The sequence below is a fragment of the Homo sapiens genome, chromosome X (assembly GCF_000001405.40).
Source record: "Homo sapiens chromosome X, GRCh38.p14 Primary Assembly".
In the NCBI taxonomy this organism is placed as follows: domain Eukaryota; kingdom Metazoa; phylum Chordata; class Mammalia; order Primates; family Hominidae; genus Homo; species Homo sapiens.
Genome location: NC_000023.11, coordinates 103,306,465 through 103,321,298, shown reverse-complemented (window position 1 = coordinate 103,321,298; position 14,834 = coordinate 103,306,465). Strand labels below are relative to the sequence as shown.

At 38.9% G+C, this 14,834-nt stretch overlaps 1 protein-coding gene across 4 annotated transcripts, besides 1 other annotated feature; it reads left to right on the top strand.

The window, feature by feature from the left end:
* Positions 10,309-11,953, top strand: BEX2 (brain expressed X-linked 2). 4 transcript variants are annotated; one of them, NM_001168401.2, is made up of 3 exons: positions 10,309-10,403; positions 10,866-10,941; positions 11,318-11,953. In NM_001168401.2, exon 3 carries the CDS (start codon positions 11,323-11,325, stop codon positions 11,707-11,709), a length of 387 nt encoding a protein of 128 aa, NP_001161873.1. In that variant the 5' UTR covers positions 10,309-10,403; positions 10,866-10,941; positions 11,318-11,322; the 3' UTR covers positions 11,710-11,953. The 4 variants fall into 4 exon arrangements, with proteins under 4 accessions (NP_001161873.1, NP_116010.1, NP_001161872.1 ...); NM_032621.4 differs by having other exon boundaries at positions 10,309-10,439; NM_001168400.2 differs by having other exon boundaries at positions 10,309-10,713.
* Positions 10,484-10,573: a silencer, noted in NCBI's record as "silent region_20920". NCBI's record gives its function as "represses an Ori minimal core promoter by ATAC-STARR-seq in GM12878 lymphoblastoid cells {active_cell/tissue: GM12878}" and the evidence as "EXISTENCE:reporter gene assay evidence [ECO:0000049][PMID:35858748]".

The window sequence follows — 14,834 nt, the reverse complement described above, 5'->3', positions numbered from 1 at the left end:
CTTCAAACTTCACTACAGAGCTATACTAGCCAAAACAGCGTGGTACTGGCATAAAAACTGACACATAGATGAATGAAATAGAAGAGAGAACCCAAAAACAAATCCACAGACCTACAGTGAACTCATTTTTGACAAAGGTCCCAAGAGCTTACACTGGGGCAAAGATGATCTGTTCAATAAATGGTTCTAGGAAAACTGGATATCCATCTGTAGAAGAATTAAACTAGACTCCTATCTCTCACCATATATAAAAATCAAATAAAAATGGATTAAAAACTTAAATCTAAGACCTCAAATTATGAAACTTCGTTGTGAAAACCTCTGGAAAACTCTCCAGGACATTGGTCTGGGCAAAGATTTCTTGAGTAATACCCCACAAGCACAGACAGCCAAAGGAAAAATGGACAAATGGGATCATATCAAATTAAAAAGCTTCTGCACAGCAAAGGAAACAATCAACAAAGTGAAGAGACAACCCACTGAATGGGAGAAAATATTTGCAAATTACCCATATGACAAGGGATTAATAACCAGACTACATAAGGAGCTCAAAGAACTCTAAAGGAAAAAAATCTAATAATCTGATTTAAAAATGGGCAAAAGATTTAAATAGACATTTCTCAAAAGAAGACATACAAATAGCAAACAGGTGTATTGAAAGGTGCTCAACATCATTGATCATCAGAGAAATGCAAATCGAAAGTACAATGAGATACAATCTTACCCCAGCTAAAATGGCTTTCATCCAAAAGACAGGCAATACCAAATGGTAGCAAGGATGTGGAGAAAAGGGAACCCTCATTCACCATTGATAGGAATGTAAATTAGTACAACCACTATGGAGAACACTTTGGAGTTTCCTCAAAAAAACTAAAAATTGAGCTACCATACAATGCAACAATTCCTCTGCTGGGTATGTACCCAAAAGAAAGGAAATCAGTATATCAAAGAGATGTCTGTACTCCCATGTTTGTTGCAGCACTGTTCACCAATAGTCAAGATTTGGAAATAACCTAAGTGTCAATCAACAGATGAGTGGATAAAGAAAGTGTACGTATACACAATGGAGTACTATTCAGCCATAAAAAGAATAAAATCCTCTGATTTGCAACAACATGGATGGAACTGGAGGTCATTATGTTAAGTGAAATAAGCCAAGCACAGAAAGTCAAATATTGCATGTTCTCTCTCTTTTGTGGGAGCTAAAAATTAAAACAATTGAACTCATAGAGATAGAGAGTAGAAGGATGATTACCAGAGGCTGGGAAGGGTATTTGGGGGTGGGGGGTGGGAAAGGAGGATAGTTAAAGGGTACAGACAAATAGAAAGAATAAAACTATAGTAAAAAATGATTTGATTGTTCATTTTAAAATAACTAAAAGAATATAATTGGGTTGTTTGAAACACAAAGGATAAGTGATTGAGGTGATGGATACCCTATTTTCCCTGATGTGATTATTTCATTTTGCATGCCTTCATCGAAATATCTCATATAACTCATAAATATATACACCCACTATGTACCCACAAAATTAAAAAATAAAAAATAAGGAAGTAATTGTGTTAAAAAGTGTGTAGGTTAGTGAAATAGTATAAGGTGAACACTCTTGTTACCATCACTCAGATAAAAAGATGAAAATTTCCCAGCCACCTTAGAAGCCCCTCCATGTACCTCTTCCCTTTTCCAAAAAAGCAACTACTATTTTGACGTTTATAGTAATCACTTTCTTTGGTTTCTTTGTGGTTTTATCTCCCAAGTGTGCATTGCATAGCTGGACACTACAGTTTAGAGTTTAGTCTTGCTCATTTTAAATTTTTTATGGTTATTTAAAGTATTAATCTACAGATTTTCTGTCCTTCTCTTGCTTTTCCTTACAAATTATTTGTGGAATAACCTGAGCTATTTGACTTGTACAGTTTCCCACAATACTGGATTTTGCTGTCTACTAATGGTATAGTCCAACCTGATCCTCTTTCCTAAAAATTGGCAATCATATTCAGGGGTTTTATTAGACTTGGATATGATCTCTTTGGATTAATAAGCTGTATTGTTTTCTTTCACGAAGAAATAAATGCTCTTTTTAGTATTTATCAGCCATTGATGTTTAATGCTATCGAAGGAAAGCCTGTAGTTGTAATGTGCTTAAGAAAATGTAGTGTGGTGGCCTCCAGCAAGCAGCTAATGAGTTCCCCCCTCACACTTCTTGCAATGCAGTTTCTATAAACACCAAAGACTTAATTTTAAAACTATATATGTACACACATATACATATGTATACATACATACATGAATACATAGGTACATATATAGATTTTTAATTAAGACACACACACTCACAGAGATATCAAGGTACAGAGCTTTAAATATTGACTACAACAAAGAGTTTGCCTTTGTCTGGATGATACAATTTGGTAACTACAAGTGTATGGGTGCTAACTTTACTTTTCAGTCCCTTGTTGCTAATTCACAGTCATCTTTGAGTGAGAGAATAGAAGGATATTAAACCCAAAATAATGTAAAACCCAAAATGCTCTTAATATAAATTAATCCTACCAGTCATATTAATTTTTCTGGTCACTCTGTCTTGAAATCTCAGAGCCTTGTTTGATTTTTACCCCTTCCCTAAGCAACAAGTCCGTCTTTCTTCACTCTGATGGCTGAATCTGTCACTCTCCTGGTTTAGGCCCTTATCATCTTACATATGAACTATTAGGGCAGCCCATTCTCTGGTGTTTCTCCCTCCATTGTCACCCCCTCTCCTTCAGAGAGTTTTAGGTAAGATATCCAAGCCTCTCCTTCAGAGAGGTTTAAGTAAAATATCCAAGGTTACATAGCTGGTTAGTGCCAAGCCTGGGAATTAATCCAGTTTTAGAATGAGGACTGTCTCAATACATCCCTATGTTTTCTCCCATCTTCTTCATTCAACCTCCTTCCCTTTGTTCACTGATGAGTCAATAGTTATTTTGGAGGCTCCCCAGATGCCCAGAACTGCCCTGTGTACTTTGGATGAAAAGGGCTGGGTCTCAGAGCAAGGGTCTACACTGGTGAGAAATCTACTCTCTCTGGGTGGGCTGAATAACCCTTCATATGGGGCCATATGGAGAAAGGACTAAAGGGAGGGGTTGACTGTCAGGCCAATAGGTTCTAGGGGAAGGCAATGCCAGATTGGCCCCAAATAGAAAAAGCCTCAAGGAGGAAAAGTACTTGACCTGAGTCTCAGAGGATGGGCAGGGTGTAGAATTAGGATGGGAAGAAGGAAGGAGACCTGACTGAAGGGACCCAGGCGCAAGTTGCCTTGGCCTGTTTCATGCTGCTTGTGGATTGAAGTCCACTTTCTCCTTCTTTGGAAGTGTCTATGGATGATGTCTATTGTCTGAAAGTGGTTCACTGCAAGCAGTTTATGACATGAAGTCAGAAAATCTGTGTTCTGCACTTTCGTAAGGCCTTTCTTGCTTATTTTCAAGTCATGAAATCTGAATTTTTCAATCTTTCTGTATAGAACTTAGACAAATGCATTAAAAATATACATCTACCTTGAGCCCACAAATCCATTCCTAGATATCCATAATCAATGATACTTATAAAATTTAACTACAACAAAGTTATAGTGAATATGGTTGATCAGGGTGGCTTTATACTATACTGATTCTTAGATAAAAATAGAGAAAAACCTTATGTTTTACACTATATTGAGTTTTGTGTGGATGTATTCCAGATTATCAACTTTGCCAAAGTTTGGTTGCTGATTGTAACCTTATTGCATCGCTCATTTTAGCCAAGAGCACTAGTTGTCCCCAGAGACAATGTATTCCACCTTCCTTTAGGTAATAGGACTTTGCTCCCCAAAGTTTTAGAAGAGCTCTTGGCTTTGTTTGTTTCTGTTTGAGAGAGGATATCCCTCTGTCGCCCAGGCTGGAGTGCAGTGGCATGCTCATGGGTCACTGCAGCCTCGACCACCTAGGCTCAGGCGATTCTCCCACCCCAGTCGCCCTAGTAGCTGGGTCAACAGGCGCGCGCCACTACACCTGGCTAATTTTTTGTAGAGACAACGTCCCGTTATGTTGCCTAGGCTAGTCTCAAACTCCTGGCCTCAGCCTCCCAAAGTACTGGGATTACAGGCTTGAGCCACCTCGCCTAGAAAAACTCTTGATGACTCAACTAGAAACTAACATTTCCCAGCATCCTTTGAAACCAAGTATGTCTACTTGTCCAAATTCTTTGCAATGGAATGTGAGTAGATGTGGAGTGTACAACTTCTGTGTCATTTCTACAAAAGAGAATTGTTTGCTTTCTACTTCCTCTTTCCTCCGTCCTGCATTCTAAAACTCAGAAGAAATACAAAATCAACACTCTAGGAGATGGTAGAGCAACAAAACAGAAGGCACCTAACCTCATATAGTCATATAGTAGACAAATCCACTTGCCCCAAACTCCCTTTCTTTTTTTTTTTTTTTTTTTTTTGGAGTCTCGCTCTGTCGCCCAGGCTGGAGTGCAGTGGTGCGATCTCGGCTCACTACAAGCTCTGCCTCCCGGGTTCACGCCATTCTCCTGCCTCAGACTCCCGAGTAGCTGGAACTATAGGCGCCCACCACCACGCCCGGCTAATTTTTTGTATTTTTAGTAGAGACGGCATTTCACCATGTTAGCTGGTCTCGATCTCCTGACCTCGTGATCTGCCCGCCTCGGCCTGCCAAAGTGCTGGGATTACAGGCGTGAGCCACCGCGCCCGGCCCCAAACTCCCTTTCTATCTCTGGACTATTTTGTGTGAGAAAACTACACTTTTGTTTGAGAGAAGAAATTCTCTCTTGTTTGAACCATCGTATGTTTGGGGCCTCTACATTATAGTAGCTTATCCTGTATCGTAAGCACACTTGTGAAAGAAGTGATAGAAATTGATCATCACGTTTTTCTGACATGGAAAAATGAGGTTAAAATGAATTTATGATATATGTTCTGCACATTTTTCCTAGTTTGTATTTACTTATATTTTTGTTTCTGGTGGTTTTATGTGTAGAAATTGTTTTAATATCCTATTATGTAAGTATGTTCAGAAATAAGAAATGATTATATTTTATCTACTACATTCCATGTTTATACATATGTATGTATAAATATTAGAATCCCATTGATCATGCTGTTTCTAATCTAATTTGCTATTATTTAAAGTATAAATAATGAAAAGTTTTCTTTATCATTAAATATCCCTTTATAGCATATTTTTATCTTTTTATGGAACTCGATATGAATATGTAATAACTTATTTAAGCCAAATAATCAATATTGGCATATTTTGTTTTTCCCATTGTTTTACTGTTATATGTTTTACTACCATGAATATCTTTAAGCATAAACCTTTTCACACATTTAGATATTTGTTGTAGAATAGAATGTAAATAGTGAAATAACTATGTCAAATAGTACGAATATTTCTAAAATTTTGAATAATTACTGTCAAATTGCCTTCTATAAAGAATGTACCAAATTACCTTCCCAGCTATAGTGTGAAAATTGTTTTAGATTTAACAATTTACTATGACAAGAATATCTATTTGTTTTGCATTTAGTCAATAAAGTATAAATACATATGTAAATGTGCCCAAATTAGAAATTTATAGCTCAATGAAGTTTCACAAAGTAAAACCATTGAACCAGCATTTAAAACAAAACAACAAAGAAAAATAGAACATTACCAACACTGTAAAATCCTCATTCCAGTACTAAAGACTGCTACTACCGAGAATTCTAACATCACAGATTAGTTTTGCCTGTGTTTAAACTCATATAAATGGAGTTACACATTAAATACTCTTTTCTTCTCTCTGACTTCTTTATATTAACATTATGCTTGTGAGGCCTATCTATATTGCTTGTAGTTGCAATCTGTACATTTTCATTGTTGAATAATATTCCACTGTAAATACATAATTTATTTATACATTTTCCTGATAAAAATATTTGGGTATTTGATAATTGTTGGCAATTTTTAAAATGCTATTACAGATATATGTGTAAATGCTGTTTGGTAGACCAGTGAACACATTATTAGCATAGGGATATCTAGAGCGAAATTGTTCAGTCTTAGAGTATACATATGTTGATTTTGACTATATTCTGCCAGTTTTCCAAATCAGTAGTACCAGTTCTAGTTGTACCACATTCTTGTAAAATACTTGGTGCTTTCTGTCTTTATTATTTTAGACAGTCTGGGTGGTGTTCAGTGACATCACATTTTGGCTGTAATTTGCATTTCTCTTAAAAAGTAATGAAGTTGAACAACTTTTCAAAAATTATTGAACATTTATTGTATTAAATGTTCTGTTTTGTGAAGTGTTGTTTTTAAAGATATTTTCCCATTTTTCCATTGTATTATCTTTCCTTTTCTTACTTATTTTTAAGAGTTCTTTATATAATACATTATGGACATGAGTCATTTGTTAGATATATTTGTTGCAAATATCTTCTCCCAGTTTGCAGGTTGCTTTCTCATTCTTTTAATGGTGTTGTATGATAAACAATTTTTTTTTCTTTTTTGAGACAGAGTCTCGCTCTGTCGCCCAGGCTGGGGTTCAGTGGCACAAGCTCGGCTCATTGCAACCTCCACTTTCTGGGTTCAAGCGATTATCCTGCCTCAGCCTTCCGGGTAGCTGGGATTACAGGCATCCGCCATCATGCCTGTCTAATTTTTTTGTATTTTTGTAGACAGGGTTTCACCATGTTGGCCAGGCTGGTGTTGAACTCTTGACCTCAGGTGATCTGCCCGCCTCGGCCTCCCAAAATGCTGGGATTACAGGCATGAGACACTGCGCCAGGCCTAGAAGTTTTTTGTTTGTTTGTTTGTTTTAATATGAATAAAGTGCAATCCATAATCTTTTTCCTTCATGCTTAGTGCTTTTTGTGTCCTGTTTAAGAAAACTGCTTACTCCAGAGTCATGAAGGTGATCCCCTGAGTTTTTTTACATTAGGATTACATTTTTACCTTTCCCATTTGGGTCTGCAATCCACTGAGGTTTTTTTTTTTTTTTTTTTTTTTTCGTTTTTGTTTTTAATGTATTATGTAAGGTGGAATCAATATACATCTTTTCCCCATATGGATATCCAACTAATCTTTTCAAAACCACTTTTGAAAAGAAAAATGCTTTCCCCCACTTCATTGAACTGTCATCTTTATCATAAATTAGGTGACTGTATAGGTAGGTATGTTTCACAGGTCCATATAAGATAGACACACACACACAAACACAGACACATTTTAATCTTTGAGACAATATCATACTCATAAAATTGTATTAAATTTTGATATCTAATAGTGGACGTTTTGGAGCTTTCTCCATCTAAAAGGCTGTCTTAGCTATATTTGACTCTTTGTATTTTCTTTTTCTTTTTATTTTAAACAGAGTCTCACTCTGTCGCCCAGGCTGGAGTGCAGTGGCGCAATCTCCGCTCACTGCAACCTCTGCTGCCCGGGTTCAAGCGATTCTCCTGCCTCAGCCTGCCAAATAACTGGGATTATAGAAGCCTGCCATCGCGCCCAGCTAATTTTTGTATTTTTAGTAGAGCCAGGTTTCACCGTGTTAGCCAGGATGGTCTGGATCTCCTGACCTCGTGATCCGCCCACCTCACTCTCCCAAAGTGCTGGGATTACAGGCGTGAGCCACCGCACCAGGCCCGGCTCTTTGTATTTTCATACACATATTTGGAGTCTGCTTATCAACAAAAAGTGACCTGTTGAGATTTTCATATGGATTGCACTGAATTTACAGATGAATTTGGGTATAATTGACATCCTTAAAATATTGAGTGTTTTCATCTATGATCATGGTAATCCCTATACTTAGTTATTCTTTAATGTTCTTGAAACTATTTTATAATTTTCAGTGTAGAGGTCTTGAAAGTATTTAATTAGATTTATTTCTATATATTTGATTTTTAGCAAAACTTATTGGGCTGTATTTTACCTACAATAAGATACACACCTTTTAACTGTATAGTTCAATGATTTCAACAAATGTATTTGTCAATGGAGTCACTACCCCATTAAGATACAGAATGTTTTCCTCAGCTGAGAGAGTTCCATTATGCCTCTTTGCAATCACAAAAACCTCAACTTTCAAGCCAGGCAAAAACTGATTTGATTCAACTTATATCAGTACAGATTAGTTTTGCCTGTTTTAGAACTTATATAAATGCAATCATGCAGAAAACACTCAATTGTGGCTGGTATCTTTATAGATACAAATTTTTTTCATTTTTTTGAGATTCATCCATGTTATTGTTTGTATCAGTAGCTTGTCACTTTTTTATTGCTTAGCAGCGTTAAAATGTATGAATACATCACAATTTGTTTATCACTTCACTTGTTGGACATTTAGTTTTTATCAACTTTGGGACTATCATAAAGGAAATTTCTATGAACATTCCTATGCAAATATTTTTGAGAAAATATGTTTTAAATTCTGTTGGGAAAATTCCGAAAAGTGGAATTTCTAGGACATATGGTAAGTCTAACTTTTCAAGAAACTGCCACCAAGTCTCAGAGTGGTTGAACTTCTCACCAACAATCAGTGAGAGTTTCTGCTGTTTAGTATTTTCAAAAGTGCTTGGGACTGTCAGACTTTAAGTTCAGCAATTATAATGGGTGTGCAGTGATTTTTCATCCTGGCTTTATTTTACATTTCCCTGATAGTTAATGAGGTTGAACATCTTTTCATGAGCTCATTGGTAATTTGTGTGTGTAGTTTTGTGAAATGTTTATTCAGATCTTTTGATCATTTTTACTGCATTATTTGCCTTCTTATTTTATGTTTTCGAAGTTCTTTATATATGCTCTGAATTCAAAACCATTGTCAGATACAAATACTGTGAATATTTACTCCCAGCTTCTCACTTCATTTTCTTAACCATGTGTTTTAAATGGTAGAAGTTTTTAATTTGGATAAATCCAATTTCTTATTTTTTTCTTTTGTGATCTGTTCTTTTTGTGTCCTAAGGAATTGTTTTCTCAAAGATTGTAAAGTTTTTCTGTATGTTTTATTCTAGAAGTTTTCTAATTTGAGCTTTTACATTTAGGCCTAGGATCCATTTTGAATTAATTTGTGTATAGTATAAATAAAAGGCAAGGCTCCTTTTTTTCCTTTAAGAATTCTGTTATTTCAGCACCATTAGTTTAAAAGACTATACTTTCCATATAGAATTACTTTGATATCTTTGTCAAAAACTAATTAACAACATACGTATGGGTCTATTTCTGGAGTCTATTCTGTTCTATTGATCTACAGGTCTATGTTTACTACTACACTAACTTTATTATTACACCTTAAGTCTTGAAATAATATAATGTAACTCTCAAGATTTGTAGGATATTTTAAAAAAATTATTTGTCTATTCTAGGTCCTTTGCATTTTCAAATAAATTTATGAGTACGTTTGTAATATTTATCTTGTAGCTGCAACCTTCTTAAAATCAATTCTTACTCCTATAGTAGGTTTACCGTAGATGTCTCTGGATTTCCTAAATACATGATTACTTGATCTTTAAATAAAGACATACTTATCGTTTGAACCAGAAATTTGTGAAAAAGGCCTTTTTTTTCCTTTTAGTTATGAAAACCCAACAAGGTTCTGTAGCACTACAACTCACTAGCTCATTTCATAGAAGGGCCTCATGTGTCCAGGGGCCCCTCAAAAGGGGAGCCATCAGCTGCCCTGTCCTTTTCCAAGTTCTAAAAAAGCAGCTGCGTGTAGAGTCTATATTTATATAATGACTTAACAGGACAGGTGGTTGGGACATTTTGCCCAACTTTAATCCCGTCTTTCAAGTAAAAATAACTTTTTTTCCTTTTTAAAGAAGTATATTAATTTTTTGTGTTTTACAAAAGAAATAATACAGAAAAGGTATTAAGAATGAGAAAAGCCTACTCTCTTGTGCTCCTTTCCTGATACACCTCTTCCACTCATTTTAGTGGAGAGAAAACGGAGAATATTGGTAGGAGGACAGAAGGAGGTAGACAGGCAGAAGGAGGTGAATCCTGGGAGCCAAGGGCAGAGAGAGGCAAGTCCCCAGAGAAGTGGGAATGGCCAACAGCTCCCTGAGAAGATACCTTCCGTCCTTCCTGGGCAAGCAGGGGAAGTCTCAAGAATATACAGAGAAGGAAGAGTGGCAGAGCCCAGGCTGGGGATGTTAAAAGGGACTCCCGGTGAGGATGGGGGCGGGCCCGAAAGCACCACCTGACTCCGGGCTGCAGGAGGGGGCGTGGGACGGGGGCGGAGCCTCTGGCGATGACAACAGCCACACGTGATCGGCCAACACTGAGTCTTACCTCGTTGTGGCGTCAGAACCGCCGTCGCTCGCTCCCTTCTCGGCAGTGGTACCTGTTCCCGGTGTCCCTGAGGACGTGCGGGCCAGGTACGGCCCCGAAAGTAGGAAGCGGAGGGGGAGCAGGTAAGGGACCCGGAGGGGGTCCCTGGGGTTGGTGTGGGGGAGCAGCCCCGGCCTGCGGATGCCCCATCCCCGGGCAGCAGCGCGGAGACGCAGCCGGTCCACGATGCAGCCCCGGGGCCCCGCCGCGGGACCGCGAGCCTTGTGTGAGCGGAGGGGTGCCCGGCCCCGCGGGAGCCGGCGATCCTGAGGCTACGACCTTTCGGAAGCACCTGCCTCCGTCACCAGCGCAAGCTTTTCCAACACCCCTGCTCCGCCCTTCTTGATGCAGAAAATGGTGGTCAGCTTGGGGGGCTGGGCGGCTGAGGCGGGGGGCGAGAGCGGCTAGGAGGGCCCGGGCCCGGCGTGGGGAAGGGGCCGGGTGGCGGCGGGTCCTCTCTAGCGTTCCGCTGCAGCAGCCCCCACTCTTCCCACCCCGGCCGTCTGCAGGTTTGCGGGGCCAAGTGTTGCGGCGACGCACCTCACGTCGAGAATCGGGAGGAGGAGACTGCAAGGATAGGCCCAGGTCAGTGCGAGGGACGGTGGTGGGGAGGGGGTCAGAACATGAGGAAAGCCCAGTCTGAGACCCCAATCCGTGCCTTCACCCCCACACTTAGCAATCCCCCACCCCCACCCCTTCTTCGTCCTCCATTTTGGTGCCTGCAGAGGCCTGGAGATGGATCTGCAGAGAAGATGGTGGGCTTTGCGGGAGAGAAGGGCACAGACTGGCTCCCCTCGCCCCCCCGAGGGTACATGGGGCCTCTCTGGTGGAAAAAAAATGAAATTTAAAAAAGGCCTTTGAAATCCAGGGCTCTGAATTTTGAAAGGTGGGTAGTCGGGCCTCTGTCCTCGGTGCTGATCAGTTCACCAAGAATTGAGTCCATTTTCTCTCTGTCTCCTAGGAGTAATGGAGTCCAAAGAGGAACGAGCGTTAAACAATCTCATCGTGGAAAATGTCAACCAGGAAAATGATGAAAAAGATGAAAAGGAGCAAGTTGCTAATAAAGGGGAGCCCTTGGCCCTACCTTTGAATGTTAGTGAATACTGTGTGCCTAGAGGAAACCGTAGGCGGTTCCGCGTTAGGCAGCCCATCCTGCAGTATAGATGGGACATAATGCATAGGCTTGGAGAGCCACAGGCAAGGATGAGAGAGGAGAATATGGAAAGGATTGGGGAGGAGGTGAGACAGCTGATGGAAAAGCTGAGGGAAAAGCAGTTGAGTCATAGTTTGCGGGCAGTCAGCACTGATCCCCCTCACCATGACCATCACGATGAGTTTTGCCTTATGCCCTGAATCCTGATGGTTTCCCTGAAGTTAATAGGGAGACCCCTGCTTCCTAAACTTACACATTTGTGGTGTACCTTTGTCGTAAACGTTTTGATGTTACCTATTTCTTGTGGGTCTCCTATTACCAGCTTCTAAATGAATGTTGTTTTTGACCCAGTTTGTAAGTTTCTGTCAGCAGGAGAGTTTTACCTATTGCATGGAAAGATGCTCATTATATATTGTGAAGTTAATAAAACAGTTTTAAAAAGCATTCTCTGCATTCTTTTTTACTTTAAATCTTAAACATGCACCTAAACAGTCATATATATATATATATATATATATATATATATATATATATATACACACACACACATATATATAGTAAATAGTGTTTATCTCTGTGGTAGAATTAAGAGGGAGTTTATTCTTGCTTACCCATAATTTCTTATTTTTCAAAATGGAACACGTATTACTGATAAAAAGCAATGTGACCACCTTATAAAAGCGATGTGAGCACTTACTAAACACTTGTGACAGAATCTCAATTTTAGCTTGCCTCTGGGTTCTCTTTTTAGAAATGTAAGAGACACATCTCTTTGAAGATAATAATATTTATCAGTAAGATGAAGACAATCACCTCCCAGGCTTGTTGTATGGACCAGATAAGGTAATGAGGTTGTGAGCTTTCTCCCAAGTTCTTGTTCTTACTGACATGCATGACCCAACACTTTAGATATTCCCTTCTGTTATTAGAGGAAATTTCCAAGGTGAGGTCTTCCCTATATTCACAAGTCCAGTGGACTAAGGAGTAGGTACTTTCATTCCTCTGCTGCTGTGCTCTATTCTCATCATCTCCCCTGGGTATTACTCTGCTAGGTTTTGCTCCCTACACTGGCTCCTACCAATGCAGATGTTCAGAAATCCTGAAAGTGAGAAAGTCCCACCAATTTCTCTGGAATTTCCAGTGGATTGAATCCTTGCTCTACTCTACAAAAGAGTGGACAAATCCCCTCTCCCTGCTTTGTTTCATGGAAAAACATTGTCTGTCTAGATCTTTCCTTACAGGTAGTTCTCTCCCAGGAAACCTCCTCCTCAGTATAGCAGACTATAAGATGTGTGAGGAAACACAGCCCACTTTCAATCTGAGATAGTCCCACCTCATACCAGCTCACATTTACCTGAAATCCATGAATGTACAGAATTTTGTTATCTATACAGAGTTGGACATCAGGAAATCACTTAGTGAATAAATGGATACACAAATGAGATCTTTATGAGAAGTCTACGGGAAGACAATTGGGGTTAAGTGTCCCAGCAGAACTAGGGAAATAAAATCCCCCTCAGTTTGTGCTAATTAGATGAAATACACACATTTTATGTATGAAGACAGTCTTATAAACTTAAAGTTAGGATTCCAGAACAGGGGTTGGCAAACAACCCATGGGCCAAATCTGGCCCACTGCCTATTATTTGGCCTATAAGAATGATTTTTACATTTTTTAAAGGTTGAAAAACTTGAGAATATTACACCAAAACTATGAAATTCAAGTTTTGGTGTCCATAAATTTTTACTGGAACAATGGTCTGCTTATTGATTTACATGTTATCTATGGCTGTTTTTGTACTACAGTGTCAGAGTTGAGTAGTTGTGAAAGAGATAGTATAGCTTGCTTACAATGACTACATATTTTTTTTCTGGTCCTAACAGAAAAAGTTTGCCACTCCTGTTCTAGAATATAACATTGCAATAGAACTTGTGAAACCAAAGGGGAAAAGTGGACAGGCAGGTGAAAATGTCACATAACATCACAAATCCCAGACTTCATGAATCAGATGCTTTAGTAATTTCAAAGCTCTTTCTCCTCCTGCAGGCACTTAAGACACAAGACAGAAGATTATAGAGAGGCTAGAGTTGAAAGGTCAGGAAAATTGATGAACAGAGAGGCTTATGTCCTACCAGACTTCTTACTCTTGATTGTCAGTGTTAGCACCAGCTTCAATGGAAAAAAAAGTGTTCATGAGGAGAAATTAAGTTCATGTGTGAACTGATATCATACCCATGATAGAAGATGAGACACACATATGCCCATAAAAATGCATATCTCTTCTATGTCTAGGCAGATTGAAGTTGCCCTGTCAGTTTCTCAGAGAAAGTTGGGTTTAAGATTCTACTCTATGAAGAGAGTCTTCTGCTAACCAGTTTCTCTTGGCTCTTAACACAGTGTTTGTGTCTGAAGGCGCAGCTGAGGCTGTAGCATGTGAGTGGTCAGGCTCCATATAAAATGCTCAAGCAACTACCAGTAACCAGCAGACAGTGAGCAAAAGGCAATAGAGAGCAGAGCATAACATTCCCTCAAGGGGAGCAGCTATAGCTAAGATTCTGAAGGCATTTGCCTATATATCATTTCTATAGGTTATATGGTGAGCCTCCTTTTCTCCTTTACTGTGGCCATTCTTCACAAAATGTGTAAATTCTTCCCATAAAAGCCTACAAATTCTGGCAAAGAGCAGACAGGGAGCTTAGAGAGTGTGCCTTGGTTCTCAAAGAAAAACGATGTTCAAAATGGATGTTTGAGATGTAGATATGGATTAGACCATTTGGGTTTAGCACATCATGTACATCTAGTAAATACTTGTTGAATGAATGAATGAAAAACTGGACAAGAGAAATATTCATTTAGTGCTATTCAGCAAATAGTAACAATTAATACATTTTTGGATCCTTACGTATTTCTAACAAAATTGAGATAATGTAGATAATATCTCATAACTTTCTAACAAAACAGTTACTCGTTTTTTTTCCTTAAAACATTCAAGTCCATTGAAGGAAATGTAGAAAGTAAACTTAAAGGCTATTGTATGACCAAAGAAAGCACGGCAGTTTGAACATTCTAGTTCAGTGTAGGGCAAGGACACAGACACTGGACTCTTCCAGGAATTCCAGATAGCATAGGAAGTACACTTTGGTTAGAAGTAAAATAAAGCCTTCATGATTAACTGTCATTTAAAACACTAATCCACATTTATGCTTTCAGTGAAAATGGAGTAACAGGGACTGGATTTACCTCCCTAACTGAAACAACTAAAACCTGGACAGAACATATGAAAACAACACTTTTCAGTCACTTACCATCTATCAGAGAGTGGAG

Coding starts and splice junctions, on each gene's coding strand:
- BEX2 (NM_001168399.2), top strand. Junction 10,942..11,317: donor GACTGCAAGGATAGGCCCAG/GTCAGTGCGAGG, acceptor TCTGTCTCCTAG/GAGTAATGGAGTCCAAAGAG.